The sequence below is a fragment of the Homo sapiens genome, chromosome 12, assembly GCF_000001405.40.
Source record: "Homo sapiens chromosome 12, GRCh38.p14 Primary Assembly".
In the NCBI taxonomy this organism is placed as follows: domain Eukaryota; kingdom Metazoa; phylum Chordata; class Mammalia; order Primates; family Hominidae; genus Homo; species Homo sapiens.
The window spans coordinates 40,811,651-40,836,488 of record NC_000012.12 but is presented as its reverse complement, the minus strand read 5'-3'; the positions used below and the strand labels follow the sequence as shown (position 1 = coordinate 40,836,488).

Below are 24,838 nucleotides of genomic sequence, written 5' to 3'. Positions count from 1 at the left end.
AAAAATCTTCCCTTTGCATAACCATTGTACATAAAAGAGGCTTAATAAATATTTACTAATTAATAAATTAGTGTGTTCCCTAACCTCAAGAGATTTACAATTATGGAGGATGATATACACATATATTACATGAATATAATATCATTGCATCTATTAAAGTGTACCATAGTATCTGATTTTATATATATATACACATATATGTGTTATATATACATACATATTATATGTATTATAATATATACATATATGATTATGTATTCATATATACAATATATACATATATATTATTTATACATATATACTATATATACACATATATACGATTATATATTATCATATATGTGTATATACCTGTATATGTACGTATATATATACCTGTATATGTACGTATATATATACCTGTATATGTACGTATATATACACCTGTATACATATACATATATATGCATACATGTGTATATATATATGCATACATATATACACACACACACACACACACACATATATATACCTGTTCATCCACCAAAATATAAACTCTGATGAAAAGGTTCATATCTTATTTATCCTTGTATCCCTCAGTGTCTGGCCTAGTGCCTGGCATATGTGTAGAATTTGCCTCATCTGGTTCTTTAGGAAATTGCTCCAACTTGTGTGTGTGTGTGTGTGTGTGTGTGTGTGTGTGTGTGTGTATAAATAGCATTTAGAATTTCGGAAGACACTGCTACTAGCCTGGGCTCAGAAGTTTAATTCAAGAGATTAAAGTGTCAGCTAAAAAAAATTCACTTGAAAAGAATATTCATATAACTCAGACAACCCTTGAGATAAATGATCCCTGATTCTGTGTGTGGGATTGATGGGAATACAGATATTTTAGAAATGATCATATTGGCAGTAAAACAACACAGTTTCAGGCATAATGGCATATGGGCTTTGGCTAGTAAAATAGAAAGTAATAGACTGGCCTGAGAAACATAGTTGACAGTACCAGAAAAATAAGTTTATAGGTTAGATGGAAGAATAAAAAGAATGTGAATTTTAAGCTTATAATGTGGCAAATTGAAGTATCTTCTCTGCTAAGAAACCATGTAATTATCTGAAGGTCAATCAGAATGGTCCTATTAAGCCAAGTCCTTCCTACAAATATTCCTGGGTATGGTACTTTCTATCAACCCATAATGACAGCTGTCATTTAAAAAGTGCAAAACTGCACTACACAATTATACTAAGTGCTTGCAAGTATGAATAATTGCCTAAGAATATGGTGATTTAAGGGTAGGTAAGTCTGAAGGCAGAAGAGAGACCAAATGACTTGTAATGGTCTTCTTTATCCTCATTGAGACACTGCTATTATCATTTTTAATAGACAAAAACAACATAAGCTATTTTTATAAAGATAATATCATATTCACATTTGCCATAGTCTGGTAAATTCTCTTTTTTGAAAGGAATTAAAGTTCTTATTCTCCACTTTTACTATGCATCAGTATTATTTTCCAGCCAGGTCCCCGTAGCCTCATACATTAACCAAGCCAGGGCCAGAACTCAATTTATAGGAAACCCAAAACTAGGACATAAAATAAATTGTATGCTCATAATAATTTTATAGAATATATTTATTTAGTGGTAAGCATCTTTAAATTTTATACTAAAATTTTCCTTCTATAGAAGATGATCATCATCTTATTTATCATCATTTATTCATCATCACTTCTAAGCACTTTAAAAGATTACAATAAAAGTCGTTTCCTCAGGTTCAAGCAAAGGGACAATTGTAGTTGTTTTCTATTGTTCTTGTCGATTTGTTCTGGAGCTTGGATGCCCTCATACTGATCTATTTCTTTTATTACTGGTTCATCTAATTCACTTATTGGCTGCCTATCCACCCAGTTCTTCAATAGATTCGTCTGCTTGTCACCCAGCGGCTCTCCCTGCCAACTGATATATCATCTTCCATCTGTTTAAATTCCTATGTTCTTTCTGGCACAGCTCCGCCTCCAGATTCCCTCCCAGCCACCTACCTTGCTGCCCTTCCATCTGCTATCATGACTAGTATCTTTTCTAACCTATTCCCAACCTAAGCCATCAATTTGCCACTTGAGTTTTTCAAAAGTTTATTTCTCAAAGGGCTATTACGATTACAGTAATAACTTATAATGCAATCTAGGAGCAGAACGGGTGAAAGGGCAGTTAATGGCCGTAAAAATCAAACATGCATTTAATATTTGAATTATTCTACCTCTTAAAATCGTTTACTGTTCTCTTCTTTCAGTGATGGTGTTTTAAAATAATGGAGTGCACCACCAAAAGATACGATCTTGTGATACATATTCTTCAAAGCACGGTTTTCTGTGTGGTATGATTCTTGTTAGTCTTCTGCTTAATTGCATTTGGTTCATTGTTCTAAAGTTTTGCATTCACTGATTAACAATCTCTCCTTGGACACTGTTCTCAAGAGAGTGCAATTCAATTCAATTTTGTGGCTTAATGTAACAGAATTTATTTTTGTTAGGATGTGTAGTGTAGTTCCTCATCAGATATTAAAGACATTATGTAAACAAAACTAGCATTTGGTAGTTACAGTTTCAAAATTTCTATATTCAAGTATAAAGATAGCATTTTCCCTCAGCATTGATTTAGTTGTTTGACAAAGTAAATGCTTGTTTCCATGCAGTAGATATGACATACTACAAATTAAAGCAATCTCAGGAAAATATTTAAAACTTTAGACTTATGTATCTTGACATAAGACTGAAAACTTCTAATTGCCCATTCACATTTCTAGAGGATATACCCTCCCTTTATCAACCACAACTTGGAAAATAGTTAAGCTTATTTTTATAGGAGATTCATTCAGAATTGATCCTTAAATTCAAAATAAGATAACAGTTTAGTAAAAAGGTAATGATTTTTTTTTTTAAGAAAAAAGACTTGGCTAATTTATTTCATGTCCTGGGAATATAATATTTCTATTTATGTTAGTTTGTATTAAAATTTAGAAAATTTTTAAATGTTTATTTTAATGTAGGTTTTATTATTTAGGTTTGTTAAAGACAACAGATCTGGAGACAACTGTCATTGAAAAGACAACTTGTTGGCCAGGTGCAGTGCCTCACGCCTGTAATCTCAGCACTTTGGGAGGCTGGGGTGGGCAGATCATCTGAGGCCAGGAGTTCAAGACCAGCCTGGCCAACATGGTGAAACCCTGTCTCTACTAAAAAATACAAAAATTAGCCAGATGTGGAGGCACATGCCTGTAATCCCAGCTACTCGGGAGGCCGAGGCAGAAGAGTCGCTTGAACTTGGGAGGTGGAGGTTGCAGTGAGCCGAGATTGCACCATTGCACTCCAGGAGGTTGCCGTGAGCCGAGACTGCGCCACTGGACTCCAGCCTGGGCGACAGAATGAAACTCCATCTCAAAAAAAAAAGATAACTTGTTAAACCCACAGATCACCAGAGCAGAGAGCACAGCACACCACAAGGAGCAACATGGAGAAGAACTGGGGCTGGTCAGGAGGCAGAGGGAGAGAGGGGGAACTGTGTGGTTTTCACCAGAACGAACAGGAGCAGGTAAGTGCTTAGGATTGGCTAGTTTGAAAAATTTCATTTGTCACTTGTCTGGTATGTGTCCCCGGGGTGATTAGCCAAGTGGATAGTGGCCCAGAGTGTGAGAGCCCAGATAAGGAAGGTGGTTGTAGTAGTGGGGCTCTGGATTGGTTGGTTTGCATTTGAAAAATGTACTCAGGGGCAAGTTGTATACTAACTCCAGTAATCAGCTAACACCTAGGAAGGGTGGTCCTTCCAGGGTCTGCAAAGCTAAAGTATCAGAATTCAGAAAATAAAAGACATGGTTAATACAATACAGTTATGCATCACTTAACTATGAGGATACATTCTGAGAAATGAGCAGTTAGGTGATTTTGACTGTGGGAACATCACGAAGTGTACTTAACGCAAACCTAGATGGTCTAGCCTACTTCATACGTAGGCTATATGGCATAGCCTATTGTTCCTCGGCTGCAAACATGAACAGCATGTTACCGTACTGAATACTGTAGGCAAGTATAACACAATGGTAAGTATTTGTGTATCTAAACATAGAAAAAAGGTAATGTGTTGCTCTATGTCATTACAAGGGCTACCATATCACTACGCAACAGGAAATTTTCTGCTCCATTATAATCTCATGGGACCACTGTCAAATATGCAATCAAAAAATATTTATGTGGTGCATGACTATTTAATTTAGAATTAGCAGCCATTAAAAAGAAATGCTGAGAATTTATCTGATTCAGGAGTCAGATACTTCTTTATCATTAAATGCCTCCAGTGAGATTAAACAATGTCTGTGGGTGTTCACTGCCTATTAAGTCAAGTCTAAACATGTTATTCTGGTGGCTAAGTTCCTAATAACCTGCCCCACCTTGTTTATTCTCAACTACACCACCCATCCAATCCCTCTGTTTCAGTACCAACATTAAAATATATACTATTAATTTTAGCCTCCATACTTTTATACATATTCTTCCTCCAGGTGCCATTTAAAAAATGTTGTGCATAATTCCTCATTTCTCCTATGACAGTAGAACGTTTTACCAAATATTTTTGGGTGCTCCTATGTTTTATCTTTTTCCCCCTGCATTTGACTTGTTTGTTCCCATTGAAAGCACAGGCCCTTCATCTTTTGCATCTACAAAACCAGAGTACCTAGCAAAACCAAACAAGAGGATTCTCAATAAATGCTTCCTTATTGCACTGAGTTGTCTTGTGAGAAGAAAGAGATTGATGAACAATGAAAATGGAGTAAAAGGTATATTTACAATAAGAGGGAATAAATTGGTGAAGCATCCATAAAGCTATATTAAACTGAGGCACTCCTCAGAGTCAACCCTTAAGAGCATATCTGAAAGAAAGATGTTTCATATGTTAATTACTCAGGGAAAACATTTTGAGGGGGAACCAATTTAATCATTTTTCTCGAATAGGAGAGAAAAGAAGATGATATCTCCCAACAATCACTCTTTGTTGTAGATTCATACTTGCAAAAGTTTTCTGTGAATTTCACAAAGCTTGCAACTCATCAGGACTGTTTACTGAAGTGCCCTATGGGAAATTTTCTTGTTGTCTAAACATAAGCTCTGATTTCCTCAATTTTCATATTAGCTTGCTTTGTTGAAAATGGGTATATTACCTCTTTTCAAATACTTGTAGGCCTCCTAATCATCCATAAGTAATCTGTAACTACCACAATCCTAAGTAAATATAGTATATACATTTAATTATATGTGTAAATGTATATACTATAAGTAAATATATATACTATACATTTACAGTATATATTTATAGTATATATACTATAGATATTTACAGTATATATAGTATACTATATATGTATAGTATATATAGTATATGTATAGTATATATACTGTATTGTATATATTTATAGTATATATACTGTAAATATATATACTATACTATATATTAACTTATAGTATATATGTTTCATATATAGTGTGTGTGTGTGTGTGTATATATATATATATATATATATATATGTATATGTATATGTAACTACCACTTAGGATTATGGTAGTTACAGATCACTTATAGTAGTTACTAAGTAGAAAACTAGATAGTTAGGTAGACAGATAAAGAGTATATATATATATATATATATATATATATATATATATATATATACACTATACTTTCTCCCTCTCTCTCAATATATATAGAGAGATTTCTACTTCAATTTATTACAACATAAGTACAAATATATTTTAGCTCTATCAGTATTTATTCCCTATAAAGAAATATTACACCTTTCTACTTTAAAATATTATTGTCAATTATTTCTCACTCTAAGTCACCCTTAAAATTTATTTTTAAAGAAATTATAAACCCTTATATTAGTAAACCTGTTACTTCAGAATTTTTTATACATTGATTTTGAGTCACTAATAATGTATATCAACTACAGTTTAAGTACATTTTTCTTTCAAAATCTTATGTTTGATGTTTCACTACTCTCTCATTCCATTTGCCCTGTTTCCTTTTTAATATATATTTTTGTAATATATTCAGTCTCCATTTCCAATTATATCTAATACGATTATATGTTGCCATAATAATCACTATCTAAACTCATTTTGGTGCCTCATATATACCAAACAAGATATTTAAAAATTCTCATCAATTTTTTGTTGGTTCCTCCCAATTGATAGCCTATAAAAATTAATTATAACCACCGTGGGAAGCAGGAACTGAGCACATCTTATTCTAGATTTTCCTTACGTGATCTGGAAACTATTCTTTATCTGAACATTATGTCTTTTAAATGAGATTGGCTAATGGCTTGGGTTGAGACTAGAAAGAAGACAGAGAGGTTTAGATAAGTACAAGGGCAGTGCTTCTTGAATCCCTTTGTTTATACACTCTCCCCTTGTTAGGCCATTAATTCTACTGCTATGATCTTGTCACCCAGCACGGGAGCTTTTATTCTCCTACTGTCAACTCAGCCAGATCCAACAAGTAGCACTGCCATTCTACTTATTACTCAGAATTTAGTGTGTGTCATTAGGCAATAAATATCTTTAAGTTTCTGCCCCCCTCCATTCTTTCTCATTTTCCTCTAGATTCCATTTTATTAGCTGTTAATCAGCCACCTCAGCCAGGAGGCATTTCAGCAGAACTGAACACCATGACTCAGCATCAGGAGACTTCTAAGATATATAGGTAGTAATATCTCCTTCCTTTTTTCCCCTCCCTAAGGAAAAACTTCAGGTGTGAGTTTCCTCTTATACCTAAACTAGATCAGCTTTGAAGATTTAAACCATTCTGTAATGCTGGGAGTTCTGTGCACAACACCTGGACAACAGGAAATCCAAATAATATAGCAACATTGTAGCAGAATTGAAATGCATAAAATGTAGCATTTTATGCTGTGCTCTTATTATCATCATTACTCTAAATTTCTTTCTTTTTAAAAAAAATAAAGTGATACTTTTTTTTCCCAAAACATACTTGTCCTTATCTATTCTTGGTCTTGATAGATGATTTAGCAAACACACTTTTAAAAACAGTATTAATAAACATACATGAGGAAGTAGATATACCTATATATTATAGTGCATATATTATGTTTTATAAACTATGAATTATAGTATATATGTATGTGTGTGCATATATATTCACTAGTAATATAAATTCACTAGTATATATATTCACTAGTAATATATGTTCACTAATAATATAAATTGAAAAGTAGCCTTAAAGAATTTTACTTATCTAGTGTCTCTTGCTTTATATTTATTAATTCTGTTTTCTCATCCTAAAGAAATGTTCAGGAATTAATCATTTGCCATGATATTTAAGCAAGAAACTTTAATTAACAATGACTTCTGACAAATATACTCGTATAGTACTGTGTTTTTCAGTTTTACAGAGTTTTTGTAAATTTTATTTGGATCTTATGTAGTGGGTCCTATAATTGTATAGGGGTAATTTTTAAAAAAACAAGAAATAAAACTCTTTTTTGGGTAAATGTCACAACACGTCATCTATCCATACATTTTGGAGTAAGGCATTCTTAACAAGAGGGAAAAACAAAACCAAACCAGCACAGGTAGAAGTCAAATGGTTTGTTTGACAGCAAGGTCTTCCCTCAAGGACATGCTAGTCCAAATTGTTTTAATTCCATCTGCTCAATTTGTATGCAACACAGTATTTGAGTTTGAGTACCTCGGTGCTTTCCTCTGCTTCTGGGAGAAGGATTGAGCATTTCTGGTGTCTACCCACATCTTTTACTAGAATTTGAAAATGTTGACATTAAGGAAATAATCTGAGCCAACGCGATGCCACAGCCGTGCTAAAACTTCCCCACAAGGAGGTAATTTCCACTTATTGATTCAGCTCATTCTACTGCTGCCCCTCCCCAGTTTGCAGTCTTCTACACATTCGAGCTCTAGTACATTCTTGGAAAGCTTTTGCATGCAAGATAAAATACCCTATGGTCCAATACTATCAAATATAGAAAGTCACCTCTCGTTTAACGTAACAATTGAGAGTCCTGATGCTGGCATTGCAATACTAAGGTCTGAGTCAACCTTATTAATATCGCATCACCATTATCCTAACTCAGCATATTCTAGTTTACAATTACCTAACCTATAAAAAAAACCTTGGACTTACCTTATGTGTTGACTTATCTGTCGTCCTGGGTATAATATCTATTGCAAATTGTCCATTTGAATAAATACAGCAACAGTTATACCACAATACGCCTCTCTCCTGCAGCAGAAAGCAAGTTAAAAGGACTTCATGCTGTGACCTCACAGGCAGGCACAGCCGCTCCCATCCTTCAGCCAACCTGGGGAGAGCAGGTTAGATGACAGAAAAGCCGGCTGTCTACATAGCAATACTTTCAAATAAAGCATTCCGTGCTGTGAGCTGGGAGATTTACATCTTCCAAATTCGGCTGGCCCGAGTCAATGCTGCTTCTATGCCTGAAAATATTAAGCATTTCACTGCAGTCACTTAATGCAAGAAACTATCTGAGGCGACTTCACAAACCCTGTCATTCTGTTCGGAGACTAAAGAATGAGCGCTGCATGCATAATTCATGCATTAAAATCTTCAATGCTCTTCCTGTAGTCGCTGTTCTATCCAGTAATGGGCTATTGATCACCTCACCACCAAGACAATTGGAGCTCCACGATTGGTTTATTTCCACAAATAAAATTACAACCTAAATCATAGGCAGAAGCCTCCAACCCTGCAACATCCACTCGGGGAAAATATTCACATAGAGGAGATGACATTTGCATACTGCAGAATGTTTATACTGGACTCTTTCTTTGGCAGAAATGCTACAGCATCTGCTGTCTTTTATTCAAAAGATATACTTTCTGCAAGTTTAGGCTGATATTTTACATTATAAGTGAGATATAAGGAATTGGCTTTTCGCTATCATTTCTGGAACATCAACAAGGCTAAATGAAAATTAAGAAAATAAATAAATAAATGAAAGAAAGAGAAAATATGTGGCTATAAAATATGGAGATTTTTACCAGGACTCATTTGAATAACCTTTTTTAGAAAAGTTTAATTTACAAATAATTAATTTTTCATTTCAAAAATGTGGAAGGAGTTTCTCTTAAAAATCATCAATATGGGTACAAGTGTTCATCAATATTAATTATTTTGGAACATAAGCACCTTTACTCTGGGTGTGTCAGTGGTTCTGAGAGCTCTTGCTCTTAGAATTTAAGCTTCTAAGAACACAGCATTGTTTTCATTGCCTGAAAAAAAAAAACAGGCTTTAAAACAAAATGTACATTTAATTTTGCTAATATTCATCAAGGGAAAACAAAGGTAGCATTTTAAAATGTCGTAACAGTATTTGCAAAAATACTAGGATGGGAGATTCATGTAAACCAGCAAATACATATATGTATAAAATGCTTGTCTATTTTTCAAAGTGTCTTAGATATAAAAATCAATTAAGCCTTATTTTTCCACCAAAAGTGGACTGAACATGATGTTATTAAGGTCACTGAGATGACTAAAGTCATGTCTTCCCAAAGCCTCTTTTTATACACTCTCTCACATACATGCACACACACACACAATTCATATTTCTATGTCATTCCACCTGATCATTTGTAAAATCAAAGTGAAACCTTCAAGTTCATTACTCAGGGTTAGAGTACAGGATAACTGTCAGAGTTAAACCAAAGTTTGCCAATTGATAATTATGCTGTAGGGAGGTGTTCACCCTTGGTGGTGTCATCATGGTCATTTTCATCAACAAATCAATAGCAGTTGATATCAGCCCTTGAAGGTAGTAGGGGTGCTGATGACAATAGGTGCAGACTTCAGAGATGTTGAAGTGCATGTGAAGTATAATCCCTGCTGAGCCATAGAGAAGACAGTTGCACTTGACTGATAAAGATGCTAAAACATTCCAAATGGCTGTCTGAGAAATTGGCCATACAATTCCTTTGTCTATTATGTATTCCATGTGCCACAATGTTTTGTTCTGCCCCGGGTAGCTTCTATTTTCATATTTGCAGGTATTGTCACCAAGCTAATAAACTTCAAGTAAACTACATACACTTTGTTTTATAATATTTCTCTCTTCTATGAGTAATATTATTTATTCCTTAAATAGAAGATTTAAAGGCCTCAGACTTTTTGAAAAATCACAGAAGTTTTATCAATTTAATCATATATAGAATCAATTTCATATAAAAAGATCATTTTATTTATAAATAGAAATTTGAATATTTTGAAATTTATTAGGTACAAGGTTATATAGAGTACAATAATTTAGGAAATCTAAATTATTGACAAAACCTACGATAATTACAAATGTAAGAATTAGAAATTTCAGTTTCCTAAAATGGCATGATTCAACAGTGCATAACCAGGTGGCTGGGAAGAGCATTAGCTTAGTCCCTCTTTCTTCAGTGAGTGGAAGGAAAGCCAATATCGTTTCTCACATACAAATCTCCATAGCCAACTCTGAAACAAAGACTGCAACTTTGCATCTGCTTGGTTAAGTTTCAGGATTCAATTGTCTAAAGATGGAGACAGAGATGAGAAACACACAAAGACACACATACACACATCATCATCAGCATTTCATCATTATCATCATCATTGTCATCATCCTAGAACAGACGAAAATTAGAACCCAGCAAAGTAGAGAAATATATGGCACAAGGGACACTGTGGAGATAGTAAATCCTGGGGAAATCAAAGAAAAGATGCAGCAAGTAAGCATTGAATGGAAATGATGGAGGAAAAGTAGACAATTGTACTCTCACATAAAACAAAGACAAGGTCGTAATAAAGAGCCAATTTCCATTTTTCAGAAGTCTGGCTATGCCTGAGAAAAACACTTAAACGATCTTTCCAAATGGATGGAAAACAGAGATGGCCACTTTAGACAAATGTGATGTCTTTGCAGATCAAGAGGCTTTCCAATATTTTGAATTTTATAGTGCATGTAAAATAAGGAGTGAACTCTATAATATGAATGGGGTCAATAAGATAAATCAAAATTTGGGTATAAATCAAAGCCAATTTGGGTATAAATCTGTTATCTCTATTAAGATGTCTAACTGACTACTGTCATTTGGAAAATGCATAATTTGTCTCCAACATAAAAAAAAAATGCCATGACAAGTTAGGAAAAGAATGCATCCTACCAAAGATTCTGCATTCCTGAGTTCAAGGGATAAGTACTGTGGGAGAAGATTTTATTTGTTCTCTAAGATTTAAGGCATGCTTTCTACTTTTCTCTCTGTGTCCTACCAATATCATAGACACTCTCTAACATAGCCCATTCATTTAATTAAAAATATTTATTGTGTACCTTCTACACACAAGGAATTGCACTAGATGCTAGGAAGTCAAATATGTATCAGTCAGTTGTTGCCTCCAAGGTGTTCACACTTGCATAAGGAAAACAGGCCACCACACTGTTGGAGAGTAATGCACACGGTCGCTATGATACTCATTGAGATATTTAAATTAGATAATTAACTAAATCACATAGAACTGTGTCTATATGTAAAATAACTGCTAGATAAATGTTAATTATTCTTATTTTATTCCACTATGCGAGGCATATCAGCAGAAGAAACATTGGCATTATCATTTACCCATGGGAGCATTGGGAAATGATTCATTGAGGGAAGGGGTGATATTTAAAGACACAGGGGTTTATAATGGAAACAATATGGGCTTTAATGTTTGTCAAATTTGATATTAAATTTAGGCTTTGCTGAATTTAACTATATGACTAGGATACACCATTTGTACTACAAGAGCATCAGTTTTATCGCGTAAAAATCAACTTAAATATCTATCTTTCTTTAGGTTTTTGTGGGAATTAAATAAATTATTTAGGGCACAATTGTTAACAATACAGTTTTTGGAGTCAGCCAATGAGAGTTTAAATCCTGCCTCAATTTCTTCATCTCTAAAATTGAGATATTGTCAACCTCATAGAGTTATTAGGAAATTCAACTATTACCATGTCTTTACATTACTTAACACAGTTTCTGATACAGTAAGGACTTTAGAAACATTAATTTATTTCCTCTCAAGGCTTAGTGTTGGAAGAAAAGGCTTGAAGGCATTTCCAGGAAAGAGAACAACACATGCATTTTTAGGGAGGGAGGACATTACATGATAAGCTTTGAGAAACTCAAGTTTCTCTATGATGAGAACTTTGGATGCAATGGACAATTTATCAGGTGATACGGCAAAATTATATAGAATCTGATTTATATAGACCTTTTAAAAACTGTTAAAATATTGATTATATAGGACAATTTCAACGCTGTTAAGATGTTTGATGCTATTCTGCAGAAATATAAATATTTCAAGATTTCACCAAGAGAGTAATATGGCCAGATTTTGTAGGGGAATGATAGACTGGATGCCATAAGCAGGGGCAAGGGATACATTTAATAAAATATCATTTCTAATCCACCAGAAGTGATGAGGCACTAAACAAGGCAAATGTAAGGATATGGTGATGAGGAAAATATTTTAGAGATATTTAAACACTAGAGTAGTAGTACTAAGTATTACAAGAATATGGTGAGATAATGAGAAAATAATTTTAGATTTAACAAAGGAGAGGTAAACTAGGAAGATGAAGAGTTAGGCACATAAAATTTCCAATAATCTATTGGATAATGAGTCTGTAGTTGAATACATTGGTTTGTTAGTGTCCAGAACTGCTTAAGCTATGGAAGTCCATGAAATAACTCAGGGTTTGAAAGTGTAAAGTGAAAAGAAGATGGAAAATAAAGCCCTGAAATGTGGATAAGTAAACATATACAAAAGACTTCTGTTAATATTTGACATATTAATAAATTGATGGTAAATTTGCATTACACATATACAATTGCATATACAATTGCTAATTTGCATTACACATATACAGTAAGCCTGGAAAAATGTTTAGTACTTTACTAAACTGATTTAATTTGATCATCACAAAGCCCTTATTAGTTAAGTAGCATCTATTTCCATTTTGCCAATGAAAAATCAGGCTAAAAGAAAATTAAGTAATTTGGTCAAGTCATACAACCGTGAACCAATGAGCTGGAAGTCACATCCAGGATTTATGACTTCATAGCTCAGGCCTCTTTCACTGCATCAAGCTGCTGAGAACCACAGACATAACAGAATGTTTTTTCTCAAATTTTTTTCCTTGCATTCTTATATCCCAGAATACCAACAAGTAGTCCCTGTTATATAAAAAGTATTTATAGTAATCACAACTAATTTTAAAAAGTAGAGATAGAAAAGAAAATTATAATATGGAAAAGAATTAATATTTGTTATTATGTTACTAAAATATATTATTGTATATATGTGTGGATATGTTTGTGTGTATACATACATACATATATGTGTTTAAATATATACCCCCATTACATCATTATACCAAGACTACTTTATAAAGAATATGCTATATTCTCAATTATAAGTGGGAGCTAAACATTGGGTACACGTGGACATAAAGATGGTAACAACAAACACCAGAGAATATAAGAGGGACAGGGAGAAGTGGGTAGGAGTCAGAAAAACTACCTGTTAGGTATCATGCTCATTACCTGGGTGATGGATTCAATCATACTCCAAACCTCAGTATCAAGCAGTATACTTTTGTAATAAACCTGTCCATGTAGCCCCTGGTTCTAAAATAAAATTTGGAAGAAAAAAGAAGATGCTATTACCTTATTCTATAGATTTTTTTTAAAGCTGGCTGAGATCATTTAAATAACTTTCTTAAAGGTACATAGATATAAGGAATAAGACAGAATTTGAGTTCCATATGACAAAAAGCCATGTTTATTACGTTATATCACACTTTAATAGCATTTTTAAAAATTCACTCAGAAATAATACAATAGAGCTACAAGTATCAACATAGAGCCTACAAGCTTAATGTTGAGGAAGAAAATGTACAGAAGAACTCATACATCACAATTCCAATCATAACATGTAAAAACAAGCAAGATAGTATAATAATATTTTTTCCCAGCACTTTGGGAGCCCGAGGCGAGCGGATCACCTGAGGTCAGGAGTTTGAGACCAGCCTGGCCAACATGGTGAAACCCCATCTCTACTAAAGGTACAAAAATTAGCCGGGCATGGTGTCGGGCACCTGTAATCCCAGCTACTCAGGAGGCTGAGGCAGGAGAATTGCTTGAACCTGGGAGGTGGGGGTTGCAGTGAGCTGAGATCATGCCATTGCACTCCAGCCTAGGTGACAGAGTGAGACTCTGCCTCAAAAAAAAAAAAAAAAAAAAAAAAGATTTATATTTTGTCTAGACTGGAAATTATAAAAAACATTGAGAAGTATATAAATATCAAATTCAGGATCATAGTTACTTCTGGGGAGCAGAGGAGGGTATTACCAGAAAGAAATTCACAGAAGATTTCAATTGCACATAGTACTATTTATTAAGCTGGTAGTGGAACACAAATTTTGATTTTGTTTTTGAATACTATCTAAATGCTTGAAATATCAATAATATATTTTAAAAGTGAGGAAAATATAATAAAGCCAGCTCCCTTGGTTTTATAGCTGGAGTCCCCTTTCTTCAGTTTCTATTTCCCTTTTAAGATGGTAACCAGGAGAAAAAAAATACTTCTAATGTCATCCAATTCTATTTGAAGCATCTCTCCAATCATTAAGAAAGAGATTCAATTAAAGAAAAAAATTAAAAATAAATATCTATAGTGAACAGGTATCCTAACATGTTTCAAAATTTGAGATACTTGTACATGGTTTATGTAACATTAAAGGATTTCTGGTTCCATTAAAATGCCCAAGATTTCCCCTAATGTTTCAAATAGTTTTCAAATATCCATATACCAAATCATTTCCCAGGTTTCATGAAAATGAGCTAATTGCAATTTAATCTCCATGTAAAATGAGACCACTAATACTACTACTAATGGTTACAAGTATAATTGAAAAACATAAAGTCTTTTAAGTTTATCAAAGTATAACAAGTAATTCTAATAATCTCTATTTAATCATATTTAATTTTAGTTACTTTAAAATAGGCAGTTTTTCTTTTTAAGTGACTAAATGCTCCTGGAGGAAGGCATATTCAACTCATATTTAAATCAAGAAATCTCAGCAACAAGTTCTGCCCCATGAGAGTCACCAAATAGCTTTGGATACCTGCCAATCTGTCTCTCTGGATACATATTAAGGAAGAGCTTTTAAAATTACATCCTACTTAGCTTCTCTAGTAACACATTTAAATATTTGAAAAATAATTTAGCCTAAACACATTTCCAGTCTCAAGACAATTAGACCTGTCTCATTATGTCTCAAATTATTTATTCAAGAAATATGTGTACACTCTTGGTTATTTTAGAACTTTTGAGCTTCTGAGAACTACGAATCAAACAGTAAGTAATTCCTTTAGGAAGATTTAATGTGGAGTGACGTCATCAAGTTGACAGAGATGGAGACATCAGCCTTATTTTCCCTACAAAGGCAAGAAAAACATCCTTGGGATTGCTCAAAGGTTCAAAAGAATCTATGCAACAAAATGAAACAAAACAAACAATAAATAAACAAAATGCCCAGAATAATCACACAATAAATCACTGGGAAGAATGGCACACCTGAGATATCTAGAGATGTCTAGAATGGTGGGGGCTATCAGTATTAGCCATGCATCAGGTGCCAACATGGTTTCCCGTGAATCTTCTCTGCAAGGGACACTGGTAACTTTCACCACTGAGGTCACCAAGAGCCATTGCCACTGTGAACAACCTGGAGAGGGAGATGCTGTGATCCCCCTAAAAAGGAATTATTATTGTGATGCTACCTCCCAAACCCCACCAAACTCTAGAATCATGACCACTCCACTTGTACCCATGTTCCAGACCACTGGCTCTATGATTCCACTGTAAGTGCCCATGTCTCAGACACCAGAGTCAGAGTCCCTGAGAGTTACCTACACTCCAGGTCCTATAGTCACTCTACACAACTGTATTCTGGACTCTGACTTCACTGCCACTCCACATGTGTCCACACCTCAGAATCAGAGCCACTGCTATGGTTTGAATATTTGTCCCCTCTGAACCTTACATTGAAATTTGATCCCCAATGTGGCAGTGTGGAACTTAATGGGAGGTGTCTGGGTCATGGGGATGGATACCTCAGGAATAGAGTAATGCCCTCCATCAGAGGTGAGTGAATTAGTTCCCACAAGAGCTGGTTGTTAAAAAGAGCCTGGTACTTCCTCACCCTCTCTCTTTCTTCCTCTCTTACCATGTCATCTCTGCACATGCTGGTTCCCCTTTGCCTTCTGCCATGACTGAAAGTATTCTGAGGCCTTTACCAGATGCAGCTGCTAGTGCCATGCTTCTTATAAAAACATAATAAGCATGTGAATCCTTCACTGGCAACCAAGGTATCCAGGTTCTCTCATCAAAATTGACTAGAAGGCTGGCATGACCCACGGAGAGAAGAAAGAACAGTGTGGTGCGGCAGCCAACCTGAGAACGACACAAGGAAGGGGAACCCCCTCCCCCGAGCCAAGAGAGGTGGTGAGTGAGCACGATACCCAGCTGGGTAAACTGTCCTTTTTCCACAGAAATGTGCAACCCACGGATCGGAAGATCCTACTTGTGAACCCACACCACCAGAGCCTAGTGTCCCAATCCCAGAACGTGCAGATTCTTACAGCCTCTCAGCTGGAATCTGCTTAAGCTTACTGAACTCCAGGGGGGAGGGGCGACCAGCACTGGCTGCAGCTGCCTGCTGTCTAAGCCATTTGAGCTCCTTGAGGGAGGAACAGCAGCCAGCACTGGGACCTACAATGCCTAACATGCTAAGCTCCCTGGGCGGGGGGAAGGGCGGCACCTATTTCCATAGCTCCAGGCTGTGCTTTTCCCTTGCTGGAGCCAGGAAGACTGGATAGCTTGGTCCCAAGACTTGGCCCCACAGCACAGCACACTTGCTGTGGAATACGGCCAGAGTGCCTCTTCAGGTCTAACCCTGAGGCATCCTTCCTCAGTGGGTGGGGCTTTCCTACAGGATTTCCAATAAGTCCAGCCAGAGGCTCAGGGACAGAATTCAGAGCTCCCTGGATCTGAGCCCCTAGTGAGAGGGGTGGCCGCAGTCTCTGGGGACCAGCAGACTTAGCCTCTCCTCCTGGTCATTCTGAAGACTCTGGGCAGCCCAGAGAAGTGGGCTTCCCCCCAGCAAAACACACCCTTTCCACCAAGGGATAAAGTGCTTCCTTAAACAGGTCCTGCTTCCTGTGCCACCCAACTGAGTGAGACCCTCCAACCGGGGTTGTCAGACACACCCTATACAGGAGCGATCCTACTAACATCAGCTTAGTCCCCCTCAAGGGCAGAGGTCCCAGAAGAAGGAGCAGGCACCCATCTTTGCTGCTCTTCAGCCTCCTTGAATCATATCTGCAGGCACAGGAGTGAATCAGATGAATAAGGCCTGAAGCGAACCCCCGGCAAACTGCAGCAGCCCTATGGAAGAGGGACCTGACTATTGAAAGAAAACAAACAAGGACAAAGTGACAAAAATAGCATCAACAACAAAAACAAAAAGGCCCCCAGAAAAACCCCATCCAAAGGTCAGCAGCCTCAAATACCAAAACTAGACAAACTCACAAAGATGAAAAAGAATTAATGAAAAAATGCTGAAAACCAAAAAGGCCAGAGTGCCTCCTCTCCCCCAAATAATTGCAGCATCTTTCCATCAAGGGCACAGAACTGGATGGAGGATCAGATGGATGAATTGACTGAAGTAGGCTTCAGAAGATGGGTAATAAAAAACTATGATGAGCTAAAGGAGCATGTTCTAACCCAATGCAAAGAAGCTAAGAACCTTGATAAAAGGTTAGAGAAATTACTAACTAGAATATCCAGTTTAGAGAGGAATATAAATTACATGATGGAGCTGAAAAACACAGCACGAGTACTTCGTGATGCATACACAAGTAAAAACAGAAGAATTGACAAAGCGGAAGAAAGGATATCAGAGTTTGAAGACCACCTTACTGAAATAAAACATGCGGACAAGAATAGAGAAAAAAAGAATGAAAAGGAATGAACAAAGCCTCCAAGAAATATGGAACTTCATAAAAAAACTGAACCTACAATTGATTGGACAACCAGAAGGAGATGGGGAGGATGGAATCAAGCTGGAAAACACACTTCAGTATATTATCCAGGAGAACTTCCCCAACCTAGAAAGACAGTCCAACATGCAAATTCAGGAAATACAGAGAATGCCATTAAGATGACACTCCATGAGAAGATCAACCCTAAGACACATAATCATCAGATTCTCCAACGTCAAAATGAAGGAAAAACTGTTAAGTGCAACCAGAAAGAAACGCCAGGTCACCTACAAAGGGAAGCCCATTAGAATAACAACAGACCTCTCAGAAGAAAGTCTACAAGCCAGAAGAGATGGGGGGCCAATATTCAACCTTAAAGGAAAGAATTTTCAACCCAGAATTTCATATCCAGCCAAACTAAGCTTCAGAAGCAAAGGAAAAATAAAATCCTTTCCAGACAAGCAAATGCTGAGGGATTTTGTCACCACCAGGCCTGCCCTGCAAGAGCTCCTGAAAAAAGCATTAAATACTAAAAGGAAAAACCAGTACCAGCCACTGCAAAAACACACCAAAACATAAAGACCAATGACACTACAAAGAAATTACATCAACTAGTGTGCAAAATAGCCAAATAGCATCATGATGATAGGATCAAACTCGCACATAACAATATTAACCTAAAATGTAAATGGGCTAAATGCCTCAATTAAAATACACAGACTGGCAAACTGGATAAGGAGTCAAGACCCATCAATGTGCTGTATTCAGGAGACCCATCTTACATGCAAAGACACACACAGTCTCAAAAGAAAGGGATGGAGGAAAATTTACCAAGGAAATGAAAAGCAAAAAAAAAAAAAAAAAAAAAAAAAAGCAGGGGTTGCAATCCTAGTCTCTGACAAAACCGGCTTTAAACCAACAAAGAGCTAAAAAGACAAAGAAGGGTATTGCATGATGGTAAAGGGAACAATTCAACAAGAAGAGCTAACTATTCTGAATATATATGCACCCAATAGAGGAGCACTAAGATTCATAAAACAAGTTCTTAGAGACCTACAAAGAGACTTAGACTACCACACAATAATAGTGTGAGACTTTAACACCCCACTGTCAGCATTAGGCAGATCAATGAGAGAGAAAATTAACAAGGATATTCAGGACTTGAACTCAGCTCTGGATCAAGGGGACCTAGTAGACATCTATGGATCTCCCTACTCCAAATCAACAGAATATACATTTTTCTCAGTGCCACATGGCACTTATTCTAAAATCGACCACATAATTGAAAGTAAAACACTCCTCAGCAAATGCAAAATAATGGAAATCATAACGAACAGTCTTGCAAACCACAGTGCAATCAAATTAGAACCCAGGATTAAGAAACTCACACAAAACTACACAATTTCATGGGAGTTGAACAACCTGCTCCTGAATGACTCCAGGGTAAATAATGAAATAAATTAAGGCAGAAATCAAGAAGTTATTTGAAACCAATGAGAACAAAGAGACAATGTACCAGAATCTCTGGGACACAGCTATGGCAGTGTTAAGAGGGAAATTTATAGCACTAAATGCCCACATCAGAAAGCTAAAAGGATCTCAAATCAATCTCTAATATTACAATTAAAAGAGCTAGAGAGGCAAGAGCAAAAGAATCCAAAAGCTGCCAGAAGACAAGAAATAAATAAGATCAGAGAAGAAGTGAAGGAAACAGAGACACGAAAAACCCTTCAAAAAAATCAATGAATTCAGGGGATGTTTTTTTGAAAAAAATAAATAAATAACAAGCTAGATTAATAGAGAAGAAGAGAGAGAAGAATCAAATAGACACAATAAAAAGTGGTAAAGGGGACATCACCATCGACCCCACAGAAATACAAACTACCGTCAGAGAATAATAAAAACACCTCTATGCAAATAAACTGGAAAATCTAGAAAAAATGGATAAATTCCTGGACATGTACACCGTATCAGGACTAAACCAGGAAGAATTTGAATCCCTGAATAGACCAATAACAAGCTCTGAAATTGAGGCAGTAATTAATAGCCTACCAACCAAAAAAAGCCCAGGACCAGATGGATTCACAGCTGAATTCTACCAGAAATACAAGGAGGAGCTAGTACCATTCCTTCTGAAACTATTCCAAACAATTGAAAAGGAGGGACTCCTCCCTAACTCATTTTATGAAGCCAGCATCATCCTGATACCAAAAGCAGGAAGAGACACAACAAAAAAAGAAAATGTCAGGCCAGTATCCCTGATGAACATCAATGCAAAAACCTTCAATAAAATACTGGCTAGCTGAATCCAGCAGCACACCAAAAAACGTATCCACCATGACCAAGTCAGCTTTAACCCTGGGATGCAAGGCTGGTTCAACATACACAAATCAATAAACATAATCCATCACATAAACAGAACCAAAGACAAAAACCACAAGATTATCTCAATAGATGCAATAAAGGCCTTTGATAAAATTCAACATCGCTTCATGTTAAAATCTCTCAATAAACTAAGTATTAATGGAACATATCTCAAAATAATTAGAGCTATTTATGACAAACCTACAGACAATGTCATGTAGAATGGACAAAAGCTGGAAGCATTCCCTTTGAAAACTGGTACAAGACAAGGATGCCCTTTCTCACCATTCCTATTCAACATAGAATTGGAAGTTCTGGCCAGGGCAATCAGGTAACAGAAAGAAATAAGGGGTGTCCAAATAGGAATAGAGGAAGTCAAGTTGTCTCTGTTTGTAGATGACATGATTTTATAGTTTGAAAACCCCATCATCTCAGCCCAAAGACTTCCTAAACTAATAAACAACTTCAGCAAAGTCTCAGGATACAAAATCAATGTGCAAAAATCACAAGCATTCCTTTACACCTACAATAGGCAAGCAGACAGCCAAATTATGAATGAAATCCCATTCACAATTGCTACAAAAAGAATAAAATACCTAGGAATACAGCTAACAAGGGATGTGAAGGACCTCTTCAAGGAGAACTACAAACCACTGCTCAAGCAAATGAGAGAACACAAACAAATGGAAAAATATTCCATCCTCATGGATAGGAAGAATCAATATTGTGAAAATGGCCATACTATCCAAAATAATTTATAGATTCAATGCTATTCCCATCAAACTACCATTGACATTCTTCACAGAATTAGAAAAATACTATTTTAAATTTCATATGGAATCTAAGAAGACCTCAAATAGCCAAGACAATCCTAAGCAAAAAGAACAGAGCTGGAGGTATGATGCCACCTGACTTCAAACTATACTACAAGGCTACAGTAACTGGGTTTCTCTTTCACTGTGTCACAAGGGTAGACACAAATAACAGACCAACAGAGAGCCAAATCATGAGTGAACTCCCATTCACAATTGCTTCAAAGAAAATCAACCTAGGAATCCAACTTACAAGGGATGGGAAGGACCTTTTCGAGGACAGCTACAAACTGCTGCTCAACGAAATAAAAGAGGACACAAACGAATGGAATAACATTCCATGCTCATGGATAGGCAGAATCAATATCGTGAAAATGTCCATATGCCCAAGGTAATTTATAGATTCAATGCCATCCCCATCAAGCTACCAATGACTTTCTTCACAGAACTGGAAAAAAAACTACTTTAAAGTTCATATGGAACCAAAAAAGAGCCTGCATTGCCAAGACATTCCTAAGCCAAAAGAACAAAGCTGAAGGCATCACGCTACCTGACTTCAAACTATACTACAAGCCTACAGTAACCAAAACAGCATGATACTAGTACCAAAACAATCATATAGACCAATGGAGCAGAATAGAGACCTCAGAAATAACAGCACACATCTACAACCATCTGATCTTTGACAAACCTGACAAAAATAATCAATGGGGAAAGGATCTCCTATTCAGTAAATGGCTGGGAAAACTGGCTAACCATATGGAGAAAAAATGGAACTGGACTCCGTCCTTACGTCTTATACAAAAATTAACTCAAGATGGCTTAAAGACTCAAATGTAAAACACAAAACCATAAAAACCCTAGAAGAAAACCTAGGTAATACCATTTAGGACATAGGCATGGGCAAAGACTTTATGACAAAAACTCCAAAAGTAATTGCAACAAAAGCCAAAATTGACAAATGGGATCTAATTAAACTAAAGAGCTTCTGCACAGCAAAAGAAGCTATCATCAGAGTGAGGAGGCAAACTACAGAATGGGAGAAAATTTTTGCAATCTACCCATCTGACAAAGGTCTAATATCCAGAATTTATAGGGAACTTAAACGTATTTACAAGAAAAAGACAAACAGCACCATCAAAAAGTGGGCAAATGATATGAACAGACACTTCTCAAAAAAAAGACATTTACACGGCCAACAAACATATGAAAAAAAGCTGAACACCACTGATCCTCAGAGAAATGCAAATCAAAACCACAATGAGATACCATCTCACACCAGTCAGAATGGCCATTATTAAAATGTCAGGACATAATAGATGCTGGCGAGGCTGTGGAGAAATAGAAATATTTTTACACTGTTGGTGGGAATGTAAATTAGTTCAACCATTGTGGAAGACAGTATGGTGATTCCTCAAGGATCTAGAACCAGAAATACCATTTGACCCAGCAATCCCATTACTGGGTATATACCCAAAGGAATATAAATGATTCTATTATAAAGACACATGCAAATGTATGTTTATTGCAGCACTATTTACAATAGCAAAGACTTGGAACCCACCCAAATGCCCACCAATGATAGACTGAATAAAGAAAATGTGGTACATATACAACATAGAATACTATGCAGACATAAAAAGGAATGAGATCGTGTCCTTTGCAGGGAGACGGATGAGGTTGGAAGGCATCGATCTCACCAAACTAACCCAGGAACAGAAAACTAAACACTGCATGTTCTCACTCATAAGAAGGAGTTGAACATTGAGAACACGTGGACACAAAGAGGGGAACAACACATACCCTGGCCTGTTGTGGGTTGGGGGTTGAGGGGAGGGAACTTAGAGGATGGGTCAATAGGTGTAGCAAACCACCATGACACATGTATACTTATGTAACAAATCTGCATGTTCTGCACATGAATCCTGTTTTTTTTTTTTCTTTTTAGAAGCAAATAAGAAAAAACTGAAATTATTGTGTCAAAAATGGAGACAGCAAAAAATGAAAAGAAAGGAGGGGAAGGCAGAAAGAAAAAGAAAGAAAGAAAGAAGGAAAGAAAGAAAGAAAAAAAGAAAGAGAAAGAAAGGAAGGAAGGAAGGAAGGAAGGAAGGAAGAAAGAAAGAAAGAAAGAAAGGAAAGAAAGAGAAAGAAAGAAAGGATGGAAGGAAGGAAAAAGGATGGAAGGAAGGAAGGAATTGATTTTCAAAACAACCAAAAAAAAAAAAAAAATTAACAAACTGGCAGTATTAAGTCCTTACCTAAAATAATTACCTTGAATGCAAATGGATTAAATTCTCTCAACAAAAGATACAGAGTAGCTTAATGGATTAAAACAGACAAATGAACAGAAAAATAAGACCTAACTAGATGCTACCTACAAGAGACTCACTAGAGCTTTAAGGGCACATACAAAGTGAAGGGATGTAAGAAGATATTCCATGCAAATGGAACCCTAAATATACAAAATGGTCTTTTACAAAATAGACTTTAAGTAAAATACTGTCGTAAGAGACAAAGGTCATTATATCATGATAAAAGAGTGAATTCATCAAGATATAACCATTGTAAATATATATGCACCCAATACTATAGCAGCTAAATATATAAAACAAATATTAACAGAACTGATGGGAGAAATCAACACAAATACAATAGTATTAGGGGCTTCAATACCCCATTTTCAACAATGGATAAATCATCCAGACAGAAAATCAGTAAGAAAACAGCAGACATAAACAGAAACATTGTCTATAGGTTTCTTAAATAACCTATAGACAAAGTGAACACAAGACATACACAGAACATTCCATCCAACAGCAGCAGAATACATATTCTTCTCAAGTGTACACACAGCATTCTCTAGGATAGATCAAACATTGGGCCACAAAATCAGTCTTAGCAAATTTAAGAAGCTTGAAATCATATTAAGTATCTTTTATAATCAAATCTAGAAGTCAATAATAACAGAAAGACTGGAAAATTCACAAACATGTGGAAATTAAACAATATGCTCCTGAATAACCAATGAGTCAAAGAAATCAAAAGATAACTTTGAAAATATCTTAAGACAAACAAAAATGAAAACACAACATACCGAAATTTAAGGGATGCAGCAAAAGCAGTTCTAAGGAGACAGTTATGGCAATAAATGTCTACATTAAAAAAAAAAGAAAGATCTCACATAAACAACCTAACATTACATCTCAAGGAATGAGAAAAAGAAGAACAAACTAAGACTAAAATTAGTAGAAGAAACAAAATAACAAAATCAGAGCAGAAATAAGTGAAATAGAAAATGGAAAAACAATAGAAAATGTCAATGACACTAAGAGTTTTTTTTTTTTTGAAAAGATAAAGTTAACAAACCTTCAGTGAGACGAAGGAAAAAGGAGAAAAGACTCAAATAAAATGAGAAATGAAAAAGGATATAACAGGTGATATTACAAAACACAAAGGATTCTAAGAGGCTACTATGAACAATTATATCCAAACAAATTGGATAATCTAGAAGAAATCAATAAA

At 35.7% G+C, this 24,838-nt stretch overlaps 1 protein-coding gene across 6 annotated transcripts in view; it reads right to left on the bottom strand.

Moving 5' to 3' along the window:
* Positions 1–24,838, bottom strand: part of CNTN1 (contactin 1) — a 379,977-nt gene that overhangs the window by 235,927 nt on the left and 119,212 nt on the right. For 2 of the 6 annotated variants that reach the window (XM_005268651.3, NM_001256064.2), the window contains exon 1: positions 8,188–8,305. The exons of the other annotated variants lie outside the window; for them this stretch is intronic. The gene's annotated coding sequence lies outside the window, so the exon portion shown is untranslated. Of the gene's footprint in view, positions 1–8,187; positions 8,306–24,838 lie in introns of those variants that run through there. 6 annotated transcript variants of the gene reach the window in all.